Source organism: Homo sapiens, chromosome 21, assembly GCF_000001405.40.
Source record: "Homo sapiens chromosome 21, GRCh38.p14 Primary Assembly".
NCBI lineage: Eukaryota > Metazoa > Chordata > Mammalia > Primates > Hominidae > Homo > Homo sapiens.
In genome coordinates, this window is record NC_000021.9 from 45631767 (window position 1) to 45648439 (window position 16673).

The following is a 16673-nucleotide window of genomic DNA, read 5'->3' on the forward strand; positions in this document are numbered from 1 at the left end:
ATGCTGCTGGGCCCAGGCCAAGCTTTCAGCCTTTCTCTCTGGTGTGCTCTGTTCCTGGCTCAGTTGGCTGATGGCACAGGCTGGCTCGTGGCCACTGTCCGGCCATCCAGTCAGCCTGGTGGCCTATTGCGTCCTCTGCAGGAGATGCTTCCTGGCGTGTGTTAACGTAAGACACAAATGCCTCCATGTGTGGGGCCCTCTTTTGTAGGACCACCTGCCTGCCTCTTCCCTCACATTTATTATTTCCAATGTTCTGATCTTGCTCCTTTTGGGTTGCTTGCCTAGGAGCCTGTGAAGATACTTACCATGCGGTGTTTAGCATTTGTTCCACAGAACTGTGGCCTTGAGTGCTGTGTGCACAGCTCTGACCAGGAGGACTTCCTGCACCCAGAGGGGTCGTAGGGTGGCAGCATCCATGCCCAGCTGGAACCAACATATTGTGCTGCTGCATCTGTGTTTCTGGCTAGAAACGTGGCAGTGTTTCCGTCTTCCTCTATCAGTTACCACAGGGAACCCCCGCGAGAGTGTGGCTATAATCAGACAAAGAGTAACGGTGCATGGGGGCAGACAGCACAGACTCCGCAGCACCCGGAATGCACCTGTGTCCTCTGAACCTGCTCAGGCTGTTTCCCTTGTGCGCTGGGCTGTCCCTGCAGTCACCCACCTGTGGCTCGGTGCACTGATGATAGCCAGCTCACATGGCAGCTCTGCTCACACAGTCACTTGACCGTTGAGTTGCGTAGTCAGTCTCTGCTAACGCCAAGCATGCCCACAGTTGCTTTTGAAATGGAGGGTGGTTCTTTGGCACTGAAGGCACGGCCTTGCTTGATAACTCCAAGGGATGTTCTGTGACTGTCATATCAGTATTCACCAGAAGCACTGCCATGCTGTTCTCTCCACAGGAACTTCCAGAACCATTGACTCTGCTGATCCCACAGAACAAGTGGCTCAACAGCTTGCACTGTGGCCTGGACCTGATGCGGAGCCTTCCCTTGCTCTGCGTCCCACTGGAAACAGGTACTTTCTGGCTCTGATACTAGGTGGGTTGGAACTCGTTCCAGTTGTGGCATACGCTATCTCTGAAATCTAGAGGCCCACCAAAGCCGGTGCCTCCTTCTTAAAGGAAGAAGATTCAAGGTGCAACAACTTGCCATTTACATAGAAGACATGTCCTGGCATGCCCTGAGTCACTAGATCCCCCAGGTCTTCACTCCTGGGTAGGTCCCTGAGTCTTCCTGGGGGTTGGCTCCCAGTGTCCCGTGCACAGGTATTTCCTAGGGCAGATAGGACACCCCCGTGTTCTGCTCACCAGGCCCAGTTAGGATGCAGCAATGCAGCAGCCCCCAGCCTTCAAGGCCCTGTGGACTACACCCTCGGTAGTCCGAGAGCAGCGCGGGGCTGGGAGCCTGTGCTGCCGTTCCGGCCACGCCGGTGAAGCGCTTCCGGTCCCCGTGCTGGTGGGACTGAGGAGAGCGCCGTGCTGCCGTTCCGGCCACGCCGTGAAGCGCTTCCGGTCTCCGTGCTGGTGGGACTGAGAAGAACGCCGTGCTGCCGTTCCGGCCACGCCGGTGAAGTGCTTCCGGTCCCCGTGCTGGTGGGACTGAGAAGAACGCCGTGCTGCCGTTCTGGCCACGCCGTGAAGCGCTTCCGGTCTCCGTGCTGGTGGGACTGAGAAGAACGCCGTGCTGCCGTTCCGGCCACACCAGAGAAGTGCTTCCGGTCTCCGTGCTGGTGGGACTGAGGAGAACGCCGTGCTGCCGTTCCGGCCACGCCGTGAAGCGCTTCCGGTCCCCGTGCTGGTGGGACTGAGAAGAACGCCGTGCTGCCGTTCCGGCCACGCCGGTGAAGTGCTTCCGGTCCCCGTGCTGGTGGGACTGAGGAGAACGCCGTGCTGCCGTTCTGGCCACGCCGTGAAGCGCTTCCGGTCTCCGTGCTGGTGGGACTGAGAAGAACGCCGTGCTGCCGTTCCGGCCACACCAGAGAAGTGCTTCCGGTCTCCGTGCTGGTGGGACTGAGGAGAACGCCGTGCTGCCGTTCCGGCCACGCCGTGAAGCGCTTCCGGTCTCCGTGCTGGTGGGACTGAGAAGAACGCCGTGCTGCCGTTCCGGCCACGCCGGTGAAGCGCTTCCGGTCTCCCTGCTGGTGGGACTGAGGAGAGCGCCGTGCTGCCGTTCCGGCCACGCCGTGAAGCGCTTCCGGTCTCCGTGCTGGTGGGACTGAGAAGAACGCCGTGCTGCCGTTCCGGCCACGCCGGTGAAGTGCTTCCGGTCCCCGTGCTGGTGGGACTGAGAAGAACGCCGTGCTGCCGTTCTGGCCACGCCGTGAAGCGCTTCCGGTCTCCGTGCTGGTGGGACTGAGAAGAACGCCGTGCTGCCGTTCCGGCCACACCAGAGAAGTGCTTCCGGTCTCCGTGCTGGTGGGACTGAGGAGAACGCCGTGCTGCCGTTCCGGCCACGCCGTGAAGCGCTTCCGGTCTCCGTGCTGGTGGGACTGAGAAGAACGCCGTGCTGCCGTTCCGGCCACGCCGGTGAAGCGCTTCCGGTCTCCCTGCTGGTGGGACTGAGGAGAGCGCCGTGCTGCCGTTCCGGCCACGCCGTGAAGCGCTTCCGGTCCCCGTGCTGGTGGGACTGAGAAGAACGCCGTGCTGCCGTTCCGGCCACGCCGGTGAAGCGCTTCCGGTCTCCCTGCTGGTGGGACTGAGGAGAACGCCGTGCTGCCGTTCCGGCCACACCAGAGAAGTGCTTCTGGTCCCCGTGCTGGTGGGGATTGAGGAGAACACGGGTACAGCTCCACAGCTACCTTTCCCGGGCCAGAGGCTGGGCGGATCTGCCCCAGGGAAGACCCCACATCTGCTGCGGCGGCTGCAGTCCGGCTCCTTGAGGCTGGTTTCCTGTCCCCTCCTTCCCACTACGTCCCCTTCCCACCAAAGCAGTGACATCAGCTCCATCTAGTTTGAAAACAGAGGCTGGTTTGAGGGCTGGAGCCAATTAGTTATCACATTAAAATGTGTGCTATCCCTGGGGAACTTCTTGCAAGGTTTCACTTCTTTTCTTTTTTCAAAGAATCGCACTCTTGTTGGCGGGGACCAGCAGAAGACGGAGACGTTTTTCCATAACCGGCTGCTGCTGTGGGAGCCGTGGGCTGGGAATGCAGCCGAGTCTCCTCTGGGGCATGTGGGTCTCCGAGGCTGGAGTTCTCAGACGGTGTGTGTGCATGTGTATGTGCTGTGGAATCTGTGTGGAGTGTGTATGTGTGTGATGTGCTTCTGTGTGATGTATGTGTGTGTGGTGTGTGTGTATGTATGTGTGAGGTATGTGTGTTGCGTGTGATATGTATATGTGTGATGTATGTTTGTATGTGATGTATGTGTGTGGTGTGTATGCATGTGTGGTGTGTGTATGTGTGTGTGATGTGTATGTGTGTATGGTGTACGTGTGTGTGTAGTATATGTGTGTTTGTGATATGTATTTGTGTGATGTTTGTGTATGATGTGTGTGATATGTATGTGATATGTATGTCTGTGATGTGTTTGTGTGTGATGTATGTATGGTGTGTATATGTGTGATGTATGTGTGGTATGTGATGTATGTGTGTGATGTGTGGTGTGTATGTGTGTGATATGTGTGTGGTGTGTGTACTATGTGCGTATGTGTGTGCTATGTGTATGTGTGGTGTGTCTAATTCATAGTATGTGTATGTGTGTGTGGTGTGTGTGATATGTGTGTGATGTGTTTGCATGTAATGTGTGGGGTATGTGATATACATGTATGTGTGTGGCATGTGTGATATGTGCTTGTGCATGTGTGCAGTGTGTGGTGTGTGTGTATGTGAATGTGTGTGGCGTGTATGTGTGTGGTAAACAGGTGTATGTGTGTGATGTATGTACACATGATATGTGTATGTGTGTATGTGTATTCATATGATGTGTGTGGTGTGTGTGAATGTGTGTGATATGTGTGTGATGTGTATGTGTATATGTGTGGTGCGTGTGCATGTGATATGTGTATATGTGTGATGTGTGTGGTGTGCATATGTGTGATATGTGTAAATGTGTGATGTGTATTTGGTGTGTGCATGTGGTGTGTGAATGTGTGTGATGCGTGGTGTGGTGTGTGAATGTGTGCGATGTGTATGTGGTGTGTGTGATATGTGTATGTGTGGGGTGGTGTGTGTGTGATGTGTGTGTGGTGTGTGTGATGTGTGTGTGACGTCTGTGTGGTGTGTGTGTGATGTGTGTGGTGGTGTGTGTGTGGTGTGTGTGATATGTGTATGTGTGTGGTGTGGTGTGTGTGATATGTGTATATGTGTGACGTGTGTGTGGTGTGGTGCATGTGATATGTGTATGTGATGTGTGTGGTGTGTGTGTGATGTGTGGTGTGTGTGTGTGTGATATGTGTATGTGTGTGATGTGTGTGGTGTGTGATGTGTGTGTGGTGGCATGTGTGTGGTGTGTGTGTGATGTGTGTGGTGGCGTGTGTGGTGTGTGTGATGTGTGTGTGGTGTGGTGCATGTGATATGTGTATGTGTGTGGTGTGTGTGTGATGTGTGTGGTGGTGTGTGTGTGGTGTGGTGCATGTGATATGTGTATGTGTGTGTTGTGTGTGGTGTGTGTGTGATGTGTGTGTGGTGTGTGTGTGATGTGTGTGGTCTGTGTGATGTGTGTGTGATGTGTGTGGTGTGTATGTGATGTGTGTGTGATGTGTGTGTGGTGGTGTGTGTGATGTGTGTGGTGTGTGTGTGGTGTGATGTGTGTGTGGTGGTGTGTGTTGATGTGTGTGTGGTGGTGTGCGTGGTGTGATGTGTGTGTGATATGTGTATGTGTGTGATGTGTGTAGTGGTGTGGTGTGGTGTGTGATATGTGTGTGTGATGTGTGTGGTGGTGGTGTGGTGTGTGATATGTGTATGTGTGTGATGTGTGTGGTTGTGTGTGTGGCATGATGTGTGTGTGGTGTGGTGTGTGATATGTGTATGTATGTGGTGTGTGTGTGGTGTGTGTGTGATGTGTGTGTGCGATGTGCGTGTGGTGTGCATTTGTTTGGGGGAGGGCTGTGCATTTCTGCTCTCAGCTTGGCCCCCAGCAGCCAGCAGGGACTGCTCTCCTCTGGGCCCCCACACACACGCAGTGGCGCCCCAGCTCCACACCTCTTTCCTGCATTCACGCTGCCCCCTCGCAGCCCTCCCAAAGGGCCGCCAGGCACAGGGCCATGGGCATGCTGGTGACCGGGCACAGCTTCTCCAGCCTGGAGCCTTCCCGTCCTTGGTGCCGTCCTGCACCCGCAGTCTGTGCCGGGGAGCTCAGCGCCCTGCCACTCCGTGTGTCCAGTAGCCCCCGGACCGCGGTGCTGGCATGCTGCTGCTCCACCGTGGTTGTGGTTTGGACAGGACTGCTCACAGGATCAGCACAGCATGCTCTGCCTGCCGCAGAGGGATAGCGACCCGAGAGAGAAGGAACAGCAGTAGCATCGTGCGTGGGTGCAGCAGTGGAGCCTGCTGGGGTGGAGTTGAAGCTGCTCTCTGGCAGGCCCTCTTTGAGCAGCTGACAAGCACCCTCCGTGTAGTGTCCATACCAGCAGAGTGAGTGCCACCAGCTCCTTTGGGGGCCTTTAGGCCAGAGGTGTGCAAGGGTAGACCTGCTGAGCTCCAGGAGAGAGCCTGTGTGGGCCAGGGCTGCTGACACGGCAGCCACAGAGCTGGCGGTTAGTGGGGCAGCTGTGGCATGCGGTGGGGCCGACCCCACAGAGCCTCCCTAGCTGGAGCGGCCTGGAGCACCCCTGGCTCTCCACGATGGCCGGCCCCGGGACTCGGGAGTGGACAAGCTGGAGCGCCCCTGGCTCTCCACGATGGCCGGCCCCGGGACTCGGGAGTGGACAAGCTGGAGCGCCCCTGGCTCTCCACGATGGCCGGCCCCGGGACTCGGGAGTGGACAAGCTGGAGCGCCCCTGGCTCTCCACGATGGCCGGCCCCGGGACTCGGGAGTGGACAAGCTGGAGCGCCCCTGGCTCTCCACGATGGCCGGCCCCGGGACTCGGGAGTGGACAAGCTGGAGCGCCCCTGGCTCTCCACGATGGCCGGCCCCGGGACTCGGGAGTGGACAAGCTGGAGCGCCCCTGGCTCTCCACGATGGCCGGCCCCGGGACTCGGGAGTGGACAAGCAGACTCCTCCACCTCCACCTGTCCTTTCAGTATTTAAGTGGGGACCCGCAACGGGCGGGAAAGGAGAGACCAGTGCTGACGGAGCTAGGGACGCCAACAGATGTGAGAGCCACGTCTGTGCATTTCCAGGAGGCCCCATCATCTGGATGTCAGGCAGGGAGGAAGGGAACCTGCCGTGGCAACCCACCTGCTGGGTGCATCCTGTTCTCTGGGTGTGGGACTTCTGACTCGTTCACCTGGGAGGCCAGAGGGCAGTACACACAAGCCCTCCTGACCTTGGCTTTGTTCCCAGCCTTTGATCATAGGTTTGCAAACTCCTAGGCTCCCCAGGTACCATAAACGCAGAGACTGGCCTAGTCCTAGGTGGTCCGGGGGGTGGCAATTGGGAGAGAGGGGGCTAAAAAGAAGCCTCTGTGAGCCAGACTCAGTTCCTACGCTCCCCATTTGTGACTGCAGCTACAGTGGACGGTTTTGCCCCCTTAATTTACATTTTAATGGTGTATTTCTCATGATTTATGTTCTTGAATTTTCAACATAAAACACTTATCAGAGGTCGTTGGTTGCAGGGAGACTAAATGCATGTGTATTTATTTTCCAGTCCAGTAAAGTAGGAAGGCAGGTGCTTGCTAAACTGTGGCAGAGGTGGGACACCAAGAAATTTGGGGTCCTAAGTAAATAAAGGCTTGGTGGGCTGGGCCAAGCCTGTCCCACCACTCTCTTTCTCTTACGGGAATACTCTGCTGAACAGCTCCACATGTTTAAATCCATCTCTACACTCTACAGATATTACAGAGGATTACTCATGTCAACAGAGAGGTTTCAGGTGGCCCTAATAAAAAAGCAGCAAATGGATATAAAGTCAGTCTTAAGGTGTTACTTGTCGGTAGGCAAAGCAAGGGCATCTGCAGCACGCCCCACCTGTGCTGGTCTGCCCAGCAGCTGGTGGGCTTTCTTTGTGGGATTTGGAAGCTTTGCATTTCCCCCTCCAGTCTCTTCCTGAGAACCCAGCAGAGGTTGGAGGGAGGGTGGGAGTGACGTGGTGGCTCGGCACCAAAACAAAGAGTTGTTCTAATTTTAGAGTCTTAATGGTGCCCGTTGAGGCACACAGAGAAGGGGCGGAATTCTGGCTACCTCTGAGCTGAAAGTCTTCCCAAAATAAAAGGAAGGTCTGGATGACCCGTGACGTTTCTGGTGCATGTGTGAGGTGTGTGCATTTCTTCTTTATGCAAAATATAAGAAAACTTACATATAAAAAAGACAAGGGGGGAGTGCTCTGTGTGCAGTGGGGGAGGGGCCCAGAGCAGAGGAGGACTGCTCCCCAGGGCTGAGAGGCACCTGAGGGCGCCAGGGTGGCAGCAGGAGCTCTTTCCTCCCTCTCTGTCTCTGTCTCTCTCTTTCTCTCTCTCTCTGTCAGCAGTGACTCATGGACCCCAGGGCCTGAGATGTCTATCCCAGTTGTGGAGATGCCAGTCTGAGGGGCAGGCCAAGGATTCATTTGCTTCTTAGCGTGAAGAGCTGAGAGGACACAGGACCCATCCCTCGTCCATTAGGGATCATGAGGGCAACTGGGGGAGTTCTGGGTGCTTCTCCACAGCCAGATATTAGAGACCCTGTGATTATTTTCTGCTAAAACCAGGGCACACTGCCAGAGAAGCCGATGGGCTGCTCTATGTGAGACTCCATCCAATTCACTTCCAGGATGTTTTACCCTTTGGGGCAGAGCCATCTGCTTCCGTGCATGGCTTGAATCCAGCTTACCAACATTGATAACTTTTTGTGCCTATGACAGGGACAGATGTCACTGCCAGCCCCTCATGTCGGCAGAGCAGGCACTCCCCATCCTCTCTGTGTTCATTCTATGCTGGGGAAGGGGGCTGGACACTGAAGGAGTGGCCGGGATGCAGAAGCAGTGCAGAGTGTGCTTCTGGGAGACACCCGGAAATCAGGGCAGCTGTGGGGCACAGGGCAAGGGTTACCTTGCCAGCCCCGAAGAGGAGAGGTGGCTGCAGCCCCACCTACACCAGATGCCTCTCTCCGTCCGTCCTGGGTGTCTCTTTCCATGCTCCACTCATGCCCACTGCCCTTCCAGATCACATTTCCAGGAAGTGCCCTGTTCTGGGTGTCACCATCACCCAAGCTGGGGGCACCTTGCAAGCCTTCTGGCCATGGCTTGCTGTCTCTCTGCAGGGTCCCAGGCCCAGGCCAGGGGCCAGTCAGGCAGTGCCGCATGTGGGAGCTGCCTCTTCAGCAGGGGGACAGGGGAGAGGGCATGAGGGGACCCCTGAGCTGCTTCACCTAATCCAAGTACAAACACCACAGCACCAGGTAAGTTAGGTCAGGTGCACTTATGATGAGGCTGATATAAAAAGGAGGAAGCGGAAGTGGGAACTATTTTTAGTTTCTGTATTTCCCTAACCAGGGCAGCTGGCACAGGGATTGGCTTCTTGGTCTCTGATTTCCACTCCAGCACTTTGGCCATCAGAGGATCCTGTGTGAGCTCAGCTGAGCCAGCCCCAACACCCCCCAGCAGCTTTTGGTGGGCAGTGGCAGCGGTCCCTGTGCAGGGCAGGAGCCTGGGGAAGCAGGGGCTGGGTGCTGCTGGTCCCTGGAAGAAGGACTTCTACCCCAGTGCTTTGTGAAGAGGACATGAGGGCAAAGTACTAATTTGCCCCTAGGTAACATGTGTGCTGGGGTTGTAGGCTGAGGTAAGGGTATGAATTCTGCCTGAGGAAAGGCTCAGCCTGGAGTGTAGTCCTGCTGAAGGCCAGAGACCACACACTCCACCCAGACTCCGGATCTCCCTCCCCAGCAGGGGGATGGAGGCCCTGCCGCTGGGAGTGCTGGTGTTATGTGGAAGGGCTGGGCTTCTCCAGGGCTCCTGGGAGGCCTAAACATCTTGCAAGGTTTTGACGTTAATTACTATTATGATTGCTTTCTGTGTGTTACTGTTTTCCCCACACTTTAGCCAGCTAATGTGGAGCTACAGAAGGCCCTCGCCCCTACCCCTCCAGATGTCCCAGCCCATGACAAGCAGGAAGGCCGGGTGCTGGGAGACTTCCTGGGGCTGGATCTGACATCATTCCAAGCAGATGATAACCTGCCTTCCCGATTTCCAAACCCACAGCAAGACACCCTGGAGTTATTTATAAATGCGAGCCCCTGGGTGCACTTCTGACGGGACCAGCACCCTGACGGCCATGAGAGGGTGGAGACAGCGCACCCCGAGCTCAGGGAGGCAGGAAACTCTGGACCTGGAGGCCGGGCACCATGAGGGACACGCTGCAGGCCCAGCTGCTGCCGCCTGGGGCGGGGCTGCCCTGCAGGCTCCGGGAAAACCCAGAACCAGGCCGGATCAGCGTGTGTCAAGAGGCGGGGCGTGAGAGATGAGCTGCTTTTTTTCTTCACAGGGTTGGCAGGAACTGCAAATAATAGAAAGTCTTTAGGGTCTAACACGCTGCCCTGAAAACACTATCATTACTTTCCTAATGACTAACTGTGTCTTTCAGCCGGCGGGGCAGGCAGCTGAGGCCGCAGGCTCCCGCAGAGGACCGGGGGAGGCTGGCAGCCTGTAATCTGGGGGCGCTGACAGTGCTCTGCCCAGACCCTCGCGCCAGCTCCAGCTCCAGCACAGCAGCCCTGGGTCCCTCTGGCCCCCTGCCCGCAGAGTCCAGGTGTGGCAGAGGCCGCCCAGTATCCCTTCTCCTCCTCCTTTTCTAAAAACAGAGTCTCACGATGTTTCCCATGCGGGTCTCCAACGCCTGGGCTCAAGCGATCCTTCTGCCTCGGCCTCCCAAAGCGTTGGGATTAAGGGGCGAGCCACCGCGCCCGGCCCACCTTCCCTTCTGGTTCATTTCCAGTAAGGTCCTGTCCACAGCGTCCTTCCCAGCATTCCCACCAGGCTGCAGGCCTTGGCCTCCCTCCCCTCCATTCTCATTCTCCCCGAAACCGCCAAGCGCGTCCAAAGCACGGGTTCGCCAAGCGCCCCCCCCGCCCCACTCCACATTCCCTTCCCCGCCGACTCAGCCTCCGTAGCTCGCGGACGGCCCCTCCTCACGCCAGCCCAGGCTTTTTTTTTTTTTTTTTCTTCTATTTTAAGGTTGTCTTTTAATGACACAAGCGACATTTGGAGACAAAAGGACACATCTCTTCCTGACCCACCTCCAACCCCAGCTGACGGCCGCCCTGAGCCTGGCGTAGACGGCCCGGAACGTTCCCTGCGTGGGTTCCGTCCATCCCGAACCCCTGTCCCCGCGCCGGCTCCGGGGGTGCTCGGGGGGCCGCGTGGGGTCTGTGACGTCGCCTCGAGGCTGCATCCCGGTGACCCGGCAGCCCCTGGCGCTCGCGGGAGGCGGGCGGGCGCGGACCCCAGGCTTTAGGGCGCGATTCCTGCAGCTGGCTGCCGGCCCGAGGTTCTGGGGTGTCTGAGGTCTCGGGCGGGGCGAGGACGTTTCTCCGGCTCAGCCCCCCCACCTCCTGCCCTGCCGCCCCCCACACCCAGCTCCCCACGGACGCCAAGAGGCGCCTCCCACCCCGGCGAGGACCCGCGGGGAAACGGGGCCCAGGCGCGGCGACTGCGGAGGACGCGCCTCGGCCCCAGCGCCCTGGTCCTCGGGGCGTCCGGCTGCCCTTGCCCGAGGCCGGGGCGGGCGCTCAGCGCCGCGGAAGAAACGCCCGGGCGGGGACGCACAGCGAGGCGGGCTCCGCGGGAAGTACCGGGAAAACGGCGCGGAGCGGAACAGCCCGGAGCCAGCCCAGAGAAAGGGCGGCCTCCCCCTGCAGCCCCCGGGGCCCAGCAACGCCCCGCCCCAGGCCACGGCACGCGAACGCCGGGCGGGCGGAGGGGACAGGGCGGCGGGACCAGCGCGGGGCGGGCAGCGTCTGGGCACAGGCTCACGAGCCGCTCGGGGCCCCTGCCCGCCGGGCGCTGCGGCCCCAGCCTCCGGGCCGGGGCCAGGCCCACAGAGAACGGGAAGCGGGCGCTGCAGGGGGACCTTCGGGGTTGCGGCACGGCTGGGAATTCAACGGCCATTCCCGTCCCGTCGGGCCCACCCGCCCGCCCGCCAAATCCCCGCCCACCGCGGATCCGCCCCGTCCACCAAGGTCTCGCTCACCAACGGCCCGCCCCGCCCACCACAGGCCTGGCCCGCCCACGAAGGCTCGCCCCGCCCATCCACGGCCCTGCCCACCACAGGCCCGCCCCAAGCCTGGGCCCCGCCCCAGCAAGGGCACTAATCCCCTAACCCCCGAGCCCCGCCCACTGCTCTTGCCCTTCTCCCGCCCGCCCCGACTTAGGCCTCTCCCCGGCCTGGCCTCCCGTACTCAGCCCCGCCCCTGCCCCGCCCCCACCCCACCCCAAATGTGACCTGCCCCTCCCACTGCCCGTCCCCTCCCCGCTTCACTTCATTAGGCCCCCGCCCCGATTCTTGCCCCGCCCGCTCAATGTCCCGCCTACGACCCCGCCCACTACTAGTGACCGGCCCGCCCGTTCGAGGCCCCGCCTCCTCCCCGCCCAATGCTCGGCCCCGCCCCGCGCGTCATTGGGCCAGGTCCCCGCCCCGCCCCCAGCCCCACCCCCGCCCCTTTGACTGGAGTTGGCTTTTTCCAGAGAACTTTCCGGGCTCGGATTGGCCGCGCCGGTTGATGTTCCGCCCTTTCATTGGCCCGCGGCGCCCGCTTTCGCGAGCCTGCCCTTGGGCGGGGGCGGGGCCGGCGGCGGCGCGCGGCGCTAGATTGGTTAGCGGCGCAGAGGGGCGGGCCCGCGCCGCGCGCAGCGCTCGGGCTGGAGCGCCTGAAGCCGCGACCGCCGCCTCAGCCGCCTCAGCCGCGGTCGCCGCCGCTTCGGCTGACTTAGGCTCCGCCGCCGCCTCCTCACCCGCCTCGCCCCGACCCCGCCCGGGCCTCCCGGCCTCTCCCCGCCGGCCCGCGGGCTCGCCGTCCGGCGCAGGGCAGGTGAGTGAGCGGTGGCGGGCGGGGTCGGGGTCGGGCGCCCTTGCGGGTTACGGGGACCCAGTCCCCGACGGAGGCCGAGTGACGGGGCGACCCCGGGCCGCGGCAAACTTCGCCCGAGCCGGGGCGGGCGGGGGTCCCGGGCTGGGTCGCGCCGTCCCCGACCGCCGCCGGCGCCTGCGGCGGCCCGGGGCAGCGAGGGGACTCGCGCTCCCTCAAGGTGCGGTCGCCAGGCCTGGCCCGCCCGCCTCCGCCCCCTCCCCAAATTCGGAAGTTGCGGCGGGAAGCCGAGAACGTCTCGGATGTGGGTCAGAAAACGTCTGGACTACTTGAGGCTTCAGTTTCAAAACGGCACAAATTTCATCTCTTGATTGAGAAGAGATCTGGGGAACACCCCGGAGCGGCCGCGGCGGCTGGAGGGCGGCGGGGCGGGGCGCGGGGCCTCCTCCCCCTGGACGGCCGCCGGGAGAGCGCGGCCTCACCCCTCGGTGACCCTGCGGAGAGCCGCGCGCGGGCGGTGGGGCGCGCGCAGGTCTCTCTTGTTGCTCGCTGTGTTTTATTTTAATTTTGGGGGTGGTTAGAACGTGTTTCTTATTGTCCCCACACGTGTTCTAATTGGAAGTCTTGTTTCGTGAAAGAGTTTTTTTCTTTTTTTTGCCTGGTGATGTTTTCCAATTCCCTCCGCGCCACTCTGAAGTATATTACTGGCATAAGAAATTTGAAAGTTAACCAAAAGTCGGGTCCTAAATCTCGTGGCTCGGGGTTGGTTATCTTCCACCGTCCTTCAGAGCAGCCTGGATTTGCAGGTCTTGTTAGCCCTCCATGTGAGCCAGTAGCACTCTTAGTTGTTGAGTGTTTGTAGAGTGGGATTCGCCAGAAGGAATCTTGAGCAGCAGGGCCTTGCGGAGAGGCCTTTAGAGATTAGACTGGGCAACTTATAGACTCCCCCCATTTCAAAAATATTCCTCTGGCACAGGCCCTCACATATCCCTCTGAAATTGAACTCACTTTCAGGGGCAAACTGTTGCCCTTTTTCTTTTCTTTGGACTTTCTCAGATGTGGATCCCAAAGGAGTGTGCAAGGGTGCTTCCCTATTTAAGAGAACTAACTCCCAGTCCTCCTCATATTCAAGAATAATTCATCATCTTAAAGCGTGTCAGAGATACCTATTTTGGCCCCAAAAGGAGTGTTTGTAGAACAGTGGCACTCTAAAGGGATCATTTGCAAGATCTGAAAGGACCTAATTGATCATCACACGACAGAAGCAGAAATAGTTCTGGTGTTTTCAGGCTTGGAGATCTGTCAGAAAACATGGGGCCTTAAAACTAACAAGTGCAGTGACCGACTAACTGATGTCTCACTTTCGAGCAGTATTTTTTTTTTTTGCTTGTATGTAGATGCTGTTGTTTATACAGTGCAAGTTCATTACGAATGGTTTAGAACTTACGTAGCTTCACGTATTTTCTTAGTTGATAATATTATAAGGTTTTGAAAAAGTTTTGATGATAAATGGGGTCTTTATAACTGAAAAAAATGGACTCTGTCTAGAATTCAGGGCTTTTTGGCTGGCGTTGCCCCAGGTGCTGCTGATTAGTGGTGCTTTTGGACCTCAAAACATCACTTTCCCAGATATCTTTATAATGCTCATGGTGGGGGAAAACCCACACAGCTTTGTGGTTACGTTTTTAGCTATTTATGCGAAAAAGTTCAACATATAGTTGTATTTTGCTAGCTGTTTTGAAGAAGCTATTCTTTACCCTATTGTTCTGAGGAGGCTGACAGCATGCTGCATTTATAAATTTGAAAAAGCCTCACGAGCTTCTTGAACCAATCTAGCTATTCAGATTTGGATTCTGTGTATCAGTTTTGATTATTTCAGTTCCTGTGTCAATGGCAGAATCATTTCTATTTTTACAAAAGTCTCATGGCTTTATTGTAAAGGTGAACACTGAAACAGATTTTAGTAGATGTAAGTTGTGTATCCTCTCAGTGAAGAAGGCAGTGCTTTGGGCCATAACCAAGGAAAATACTTGCTCATGTATTGGAATTGCCCCAACTTAAACATTAGAATAAATGCTGTAGATTTTGGGGCAGCTCTGATGTCTCAGCTCTCATCCCTGGTGGCAGTGACTCAGAGGCAAGGCGTCATGGGCCCGCTGTCCATGGTGCTGAATCCGTGTCACCTGTTTCTCTCTCTCTCTCTCTCTCTCTCTCTCTTTCTCTCTCTCTCTCTCTCTCTCTCTGTGTGTGTGTGTGTGTGTGTGTGTGTGTGTGTGTGTGTTTTGGGGCAGGGGGAGCTCAAACTTCCTTTCCAGTGTACTTTAAAATTAATTTCAGAATTCATATTATTAAATAAAATTTGATCAGGGAAATTATGTTGAATGGGAGCGTGTCTTGAAAACACGCCATTTTATTCTTCTTTTTAAGGAGGATAATTATGCTACAACATTCAATTTCCTTTGCTTAGTCTTCACTGTCTCTCTAGGTGGGAGTTTTGTTGCTTGAGTATGGGCATCAAGTAACAAATCACTGACATTAAATGAAACCCTGTTTTCTTAACAACCATTCCTTTAAGAAAGTACCAGTTTGTTTTAGTTTGTTTTCTTTTGCTTATAACAGAATACCTGAAACTAGGTAATTTACAAAGCAAAGGAATTTATTTCTTATAGTCATGGAGGCTGAGAAGTCTAAGGTCCGGGGGCCAAAGCCACCAGCTCCACTCCCATGACAACCCACTAATCCATTAACCCATGAATGGATTAATCCATTTTATGAGGGCAGAGCCCTCTTGATCCAATCACCTCTTAAAGGTCCCACCTCTCAATACTGCTTCTGCATTGAGGATTACATTTCAGCATGAGTTTTGGAGGGGATATTCTAATCATAGCACCTTTATTACAATATAGACATACATCTGTAGGCATATATCTATGTAGGGGCAACTTGTTCCCAAAAGGGTTGACTCTAGCATGTTTTGCATTCTCCAGCATGTTGGTTCTCAGCCTTTCCTGGCGATGGGATCTGTTTATGTGTTGGGCTACTGAGTGGTTGCCAGGCATTCCTGTTGTGTTAGAGCTATATCTACTCTCTTTTCTCTAATATTGAGGACATCTTTGTAAATCATTTTACATGAATCTTTTCTTTCTCTTGAGGTTAATGTTGTCAGTTACTTTAGAATTGCCCCACAGGTTAGCAGTAAAAAAAAAACAAAAAAGATAGATGTCACTTGTGGTACAGAGATGTCACATGGTAGTAAGTTGTATATCAAGCTAAGCAGTGGATTGTTGAGGTGCTTTTTGTTATGATCATCTGAACTGATTCTGTGGCCCCATTTGTTGTACACTTAACCCAGGTTACTCTTTGACATCTCTTTTGTTGACAGAAACTCAGGAAAACTTCCTTCTGCCTCATCCAAGCTTCAGAAATACTCCCTGATTCCCTACTGTTTGCCATTTCCTATGCTATGATCTGGGAACCCATGAGGGAATGAGACAGAGTTCTTATTGAAGGGCTCACCTGTTCGGATTGAGGAAGGAACATGTAAACAGATAATTACAGGGGGCCATACTCAGTGCTGCAGTTGGGATACATAGAAAACCAGGCAAACGTGTTGAGGGGCAATTCATTTGGGCCGAGAATCAGGGAAAGCTTTAGAGAGGAGGTGGCCTTTGGGCTGGACCCTAGGGCATGAGTTATAATTGGGCATGGATTGGGTATACATTTATTAGAAAAAGACTGGAAGGTTGGAATAACCGGAGTACAGAGTGTGTAGTGGTGTGGAGGCTGGAGGTATGGAAGCATAGTGAAGGAGTTGGGACCCTGCTGGAAGTGTTAGGGGCATTGTGAAATGGTTGGAACTTTGTTGGAGATGGAGGGGGGTGAAAGTGGAGGAGGAGTTGCATGGTAGGTAGAATAATGGCTCATAAAGCTGTCCACATCCTAATCTCAGGACTATGTTATGTTACATGGCAGGGGAGTTAAGGCAGCAGATGGAATGAGGTTGCTAATCAGCTGATTTTAAAATAGGGAGATTATCCTGGATTATCTGGGTGGGCTCTGAGTAATCACAAGGGTTCTTAAAAGTAGAAGAGAGAGGCAGAATAGTCAGTGTCAGAGTGATGTGAGGTGAGAAAGACTCTAGCTGCCATTGCTGGCTTTGAAGATGGAAGGGTGCACTAGTCAAGGAATGTGGGAAGCCTTTGGAAAAGGCAAGAAAAGGGATTCTGTCCCCTAGAGACTTGGGAAAGGAATGCAGTCCTTGGTTTCTAGCCCAGTGAGACCCTTGTCTGACTTGTGACCTCCAAAACTGTAAGATAAATGTTTGTTGTATTAAAACACTAAGTGTCTGGAAGTTTGTTCCAACAGCAGTAAGAAACCGATAAAAACTGGGTCTCTTCATTTGGCAGTCTTAGCTGACAAAATTAAGGAGGGAATAACATGATTAGATTGGTTTTAGAAGATAAAATGATGGAGCTGCCACTTGGGTATAATTCAGCCCAGATAAGCATAGTTCTATTCTCTATTTCACCTCCTAGGTAAGACTGGCATCTGATATTGTCTTATTTGGCCCAAAT

At 55.7% G+C, this 16673-nt stretch overlaps 1 protein-coding gene across 17 annotated transcripts in view, besides 6 other annotated features; it reads left to right on the plus strand.

The window, feature by feature from the left end:
* Positions 1441-2640: an enhancer, noted in NCBI's record as "MED14-independent group 3 enhancer chr21:47053121-47054320 (GRCh37/hg19 assembly coordinates)". NCBI's record gives its function as "activates an origin of replication core promoter dependent on BRD2, BRD4, P300/CBP and CDK7 cofactors, and independent of MED14, by STARR-seq in HCT116 cells {active_cell/tissue: HCT116}" and the evidence as "EXISTENCE:reporter gene assay evidence [ECO:0000049][PMID:35650434]".
* Positions 5155-5284: an enhancer, noted in NCBI's record as "active region_18594". NCBI's record gives its function as "activates an Ori minimal core promoter by ATAC-STARR-seq in GM12878 lymphoblastoid cells {active_cell/tissue: GM12878}" and the evidence as "EXISTENCE:reporter gene assay evidence [ECO:0000049][PMID:35858748]".
* Positions 5295-5394: an enhancer, noted in NCBI's record as "active region_18595". NCBI's record gives its function as "activates an Ori minimal core promoter by ATAC-STARR-seq in GM12878 lymphoblastoid cells {active_cell/tissue: GM12878}" and the evidence as "EXISTENCE:reporter gene assay evidence [ECO:0000049][PMID:35858748]".
* Positions 5415-5932: an enhancer, noted in NCBI's record as "H3K4me1 hESC enhancer chr21:47057095-47057612 (GRCh37/hg19 assembly coordinates)". NCBI's record gives its function as "activates a minimal SCP1, AML or CMV promoter by ChIP-STARR-seq in primed H9 embryonic stem cells {active_cell/tissue: H9 hESC(primed)}" and the evidence as "EXISTENCE:reporter gene assay evidence [ECO:0000049][PMID:30033119]".
* Positions 11164-12153: a silencer, noted in NCBI's record as "silent region_13410". NCBI's record gives its function as "represses an Ori minimal core promoter by ATAC-STARR-seq in GM12878 lymphoblastoid cells {active_cell/tissue: GM12878}" and the evidence as "EXISTENCE:reporter gene assay evidence [ECO:0000049][PMID:35858748]".
* Positions 11959-16673, plus strand: part of PCBP3 (poly(rC) binding protein 3) — a 298726-nt gene continuing 294011 nt past the window's right edge. For all 17 annotated transcript variants that reach the window (NR_145492.2, NR_189734.1, NM_001382284.1 and 14 more), the window contains 1 exon segment: positions 11959-12102. The gene's annotated coding sequence lies outside the window, so the exon portion shown is untranslated.
* Positions 12474-12613: a silencer, noted in NCBI's record as "silent region_13411". NCBI's record gives its function as "represses an Ori minimal core promoter by ATAC-STARR-seq in GM12878 lymphoblastoid cells {active_cell/tissue: GM12878}" and the evidence as "EXISTENCE:reporter gene assay evidence [ECO:0000049][PMID:35858748]".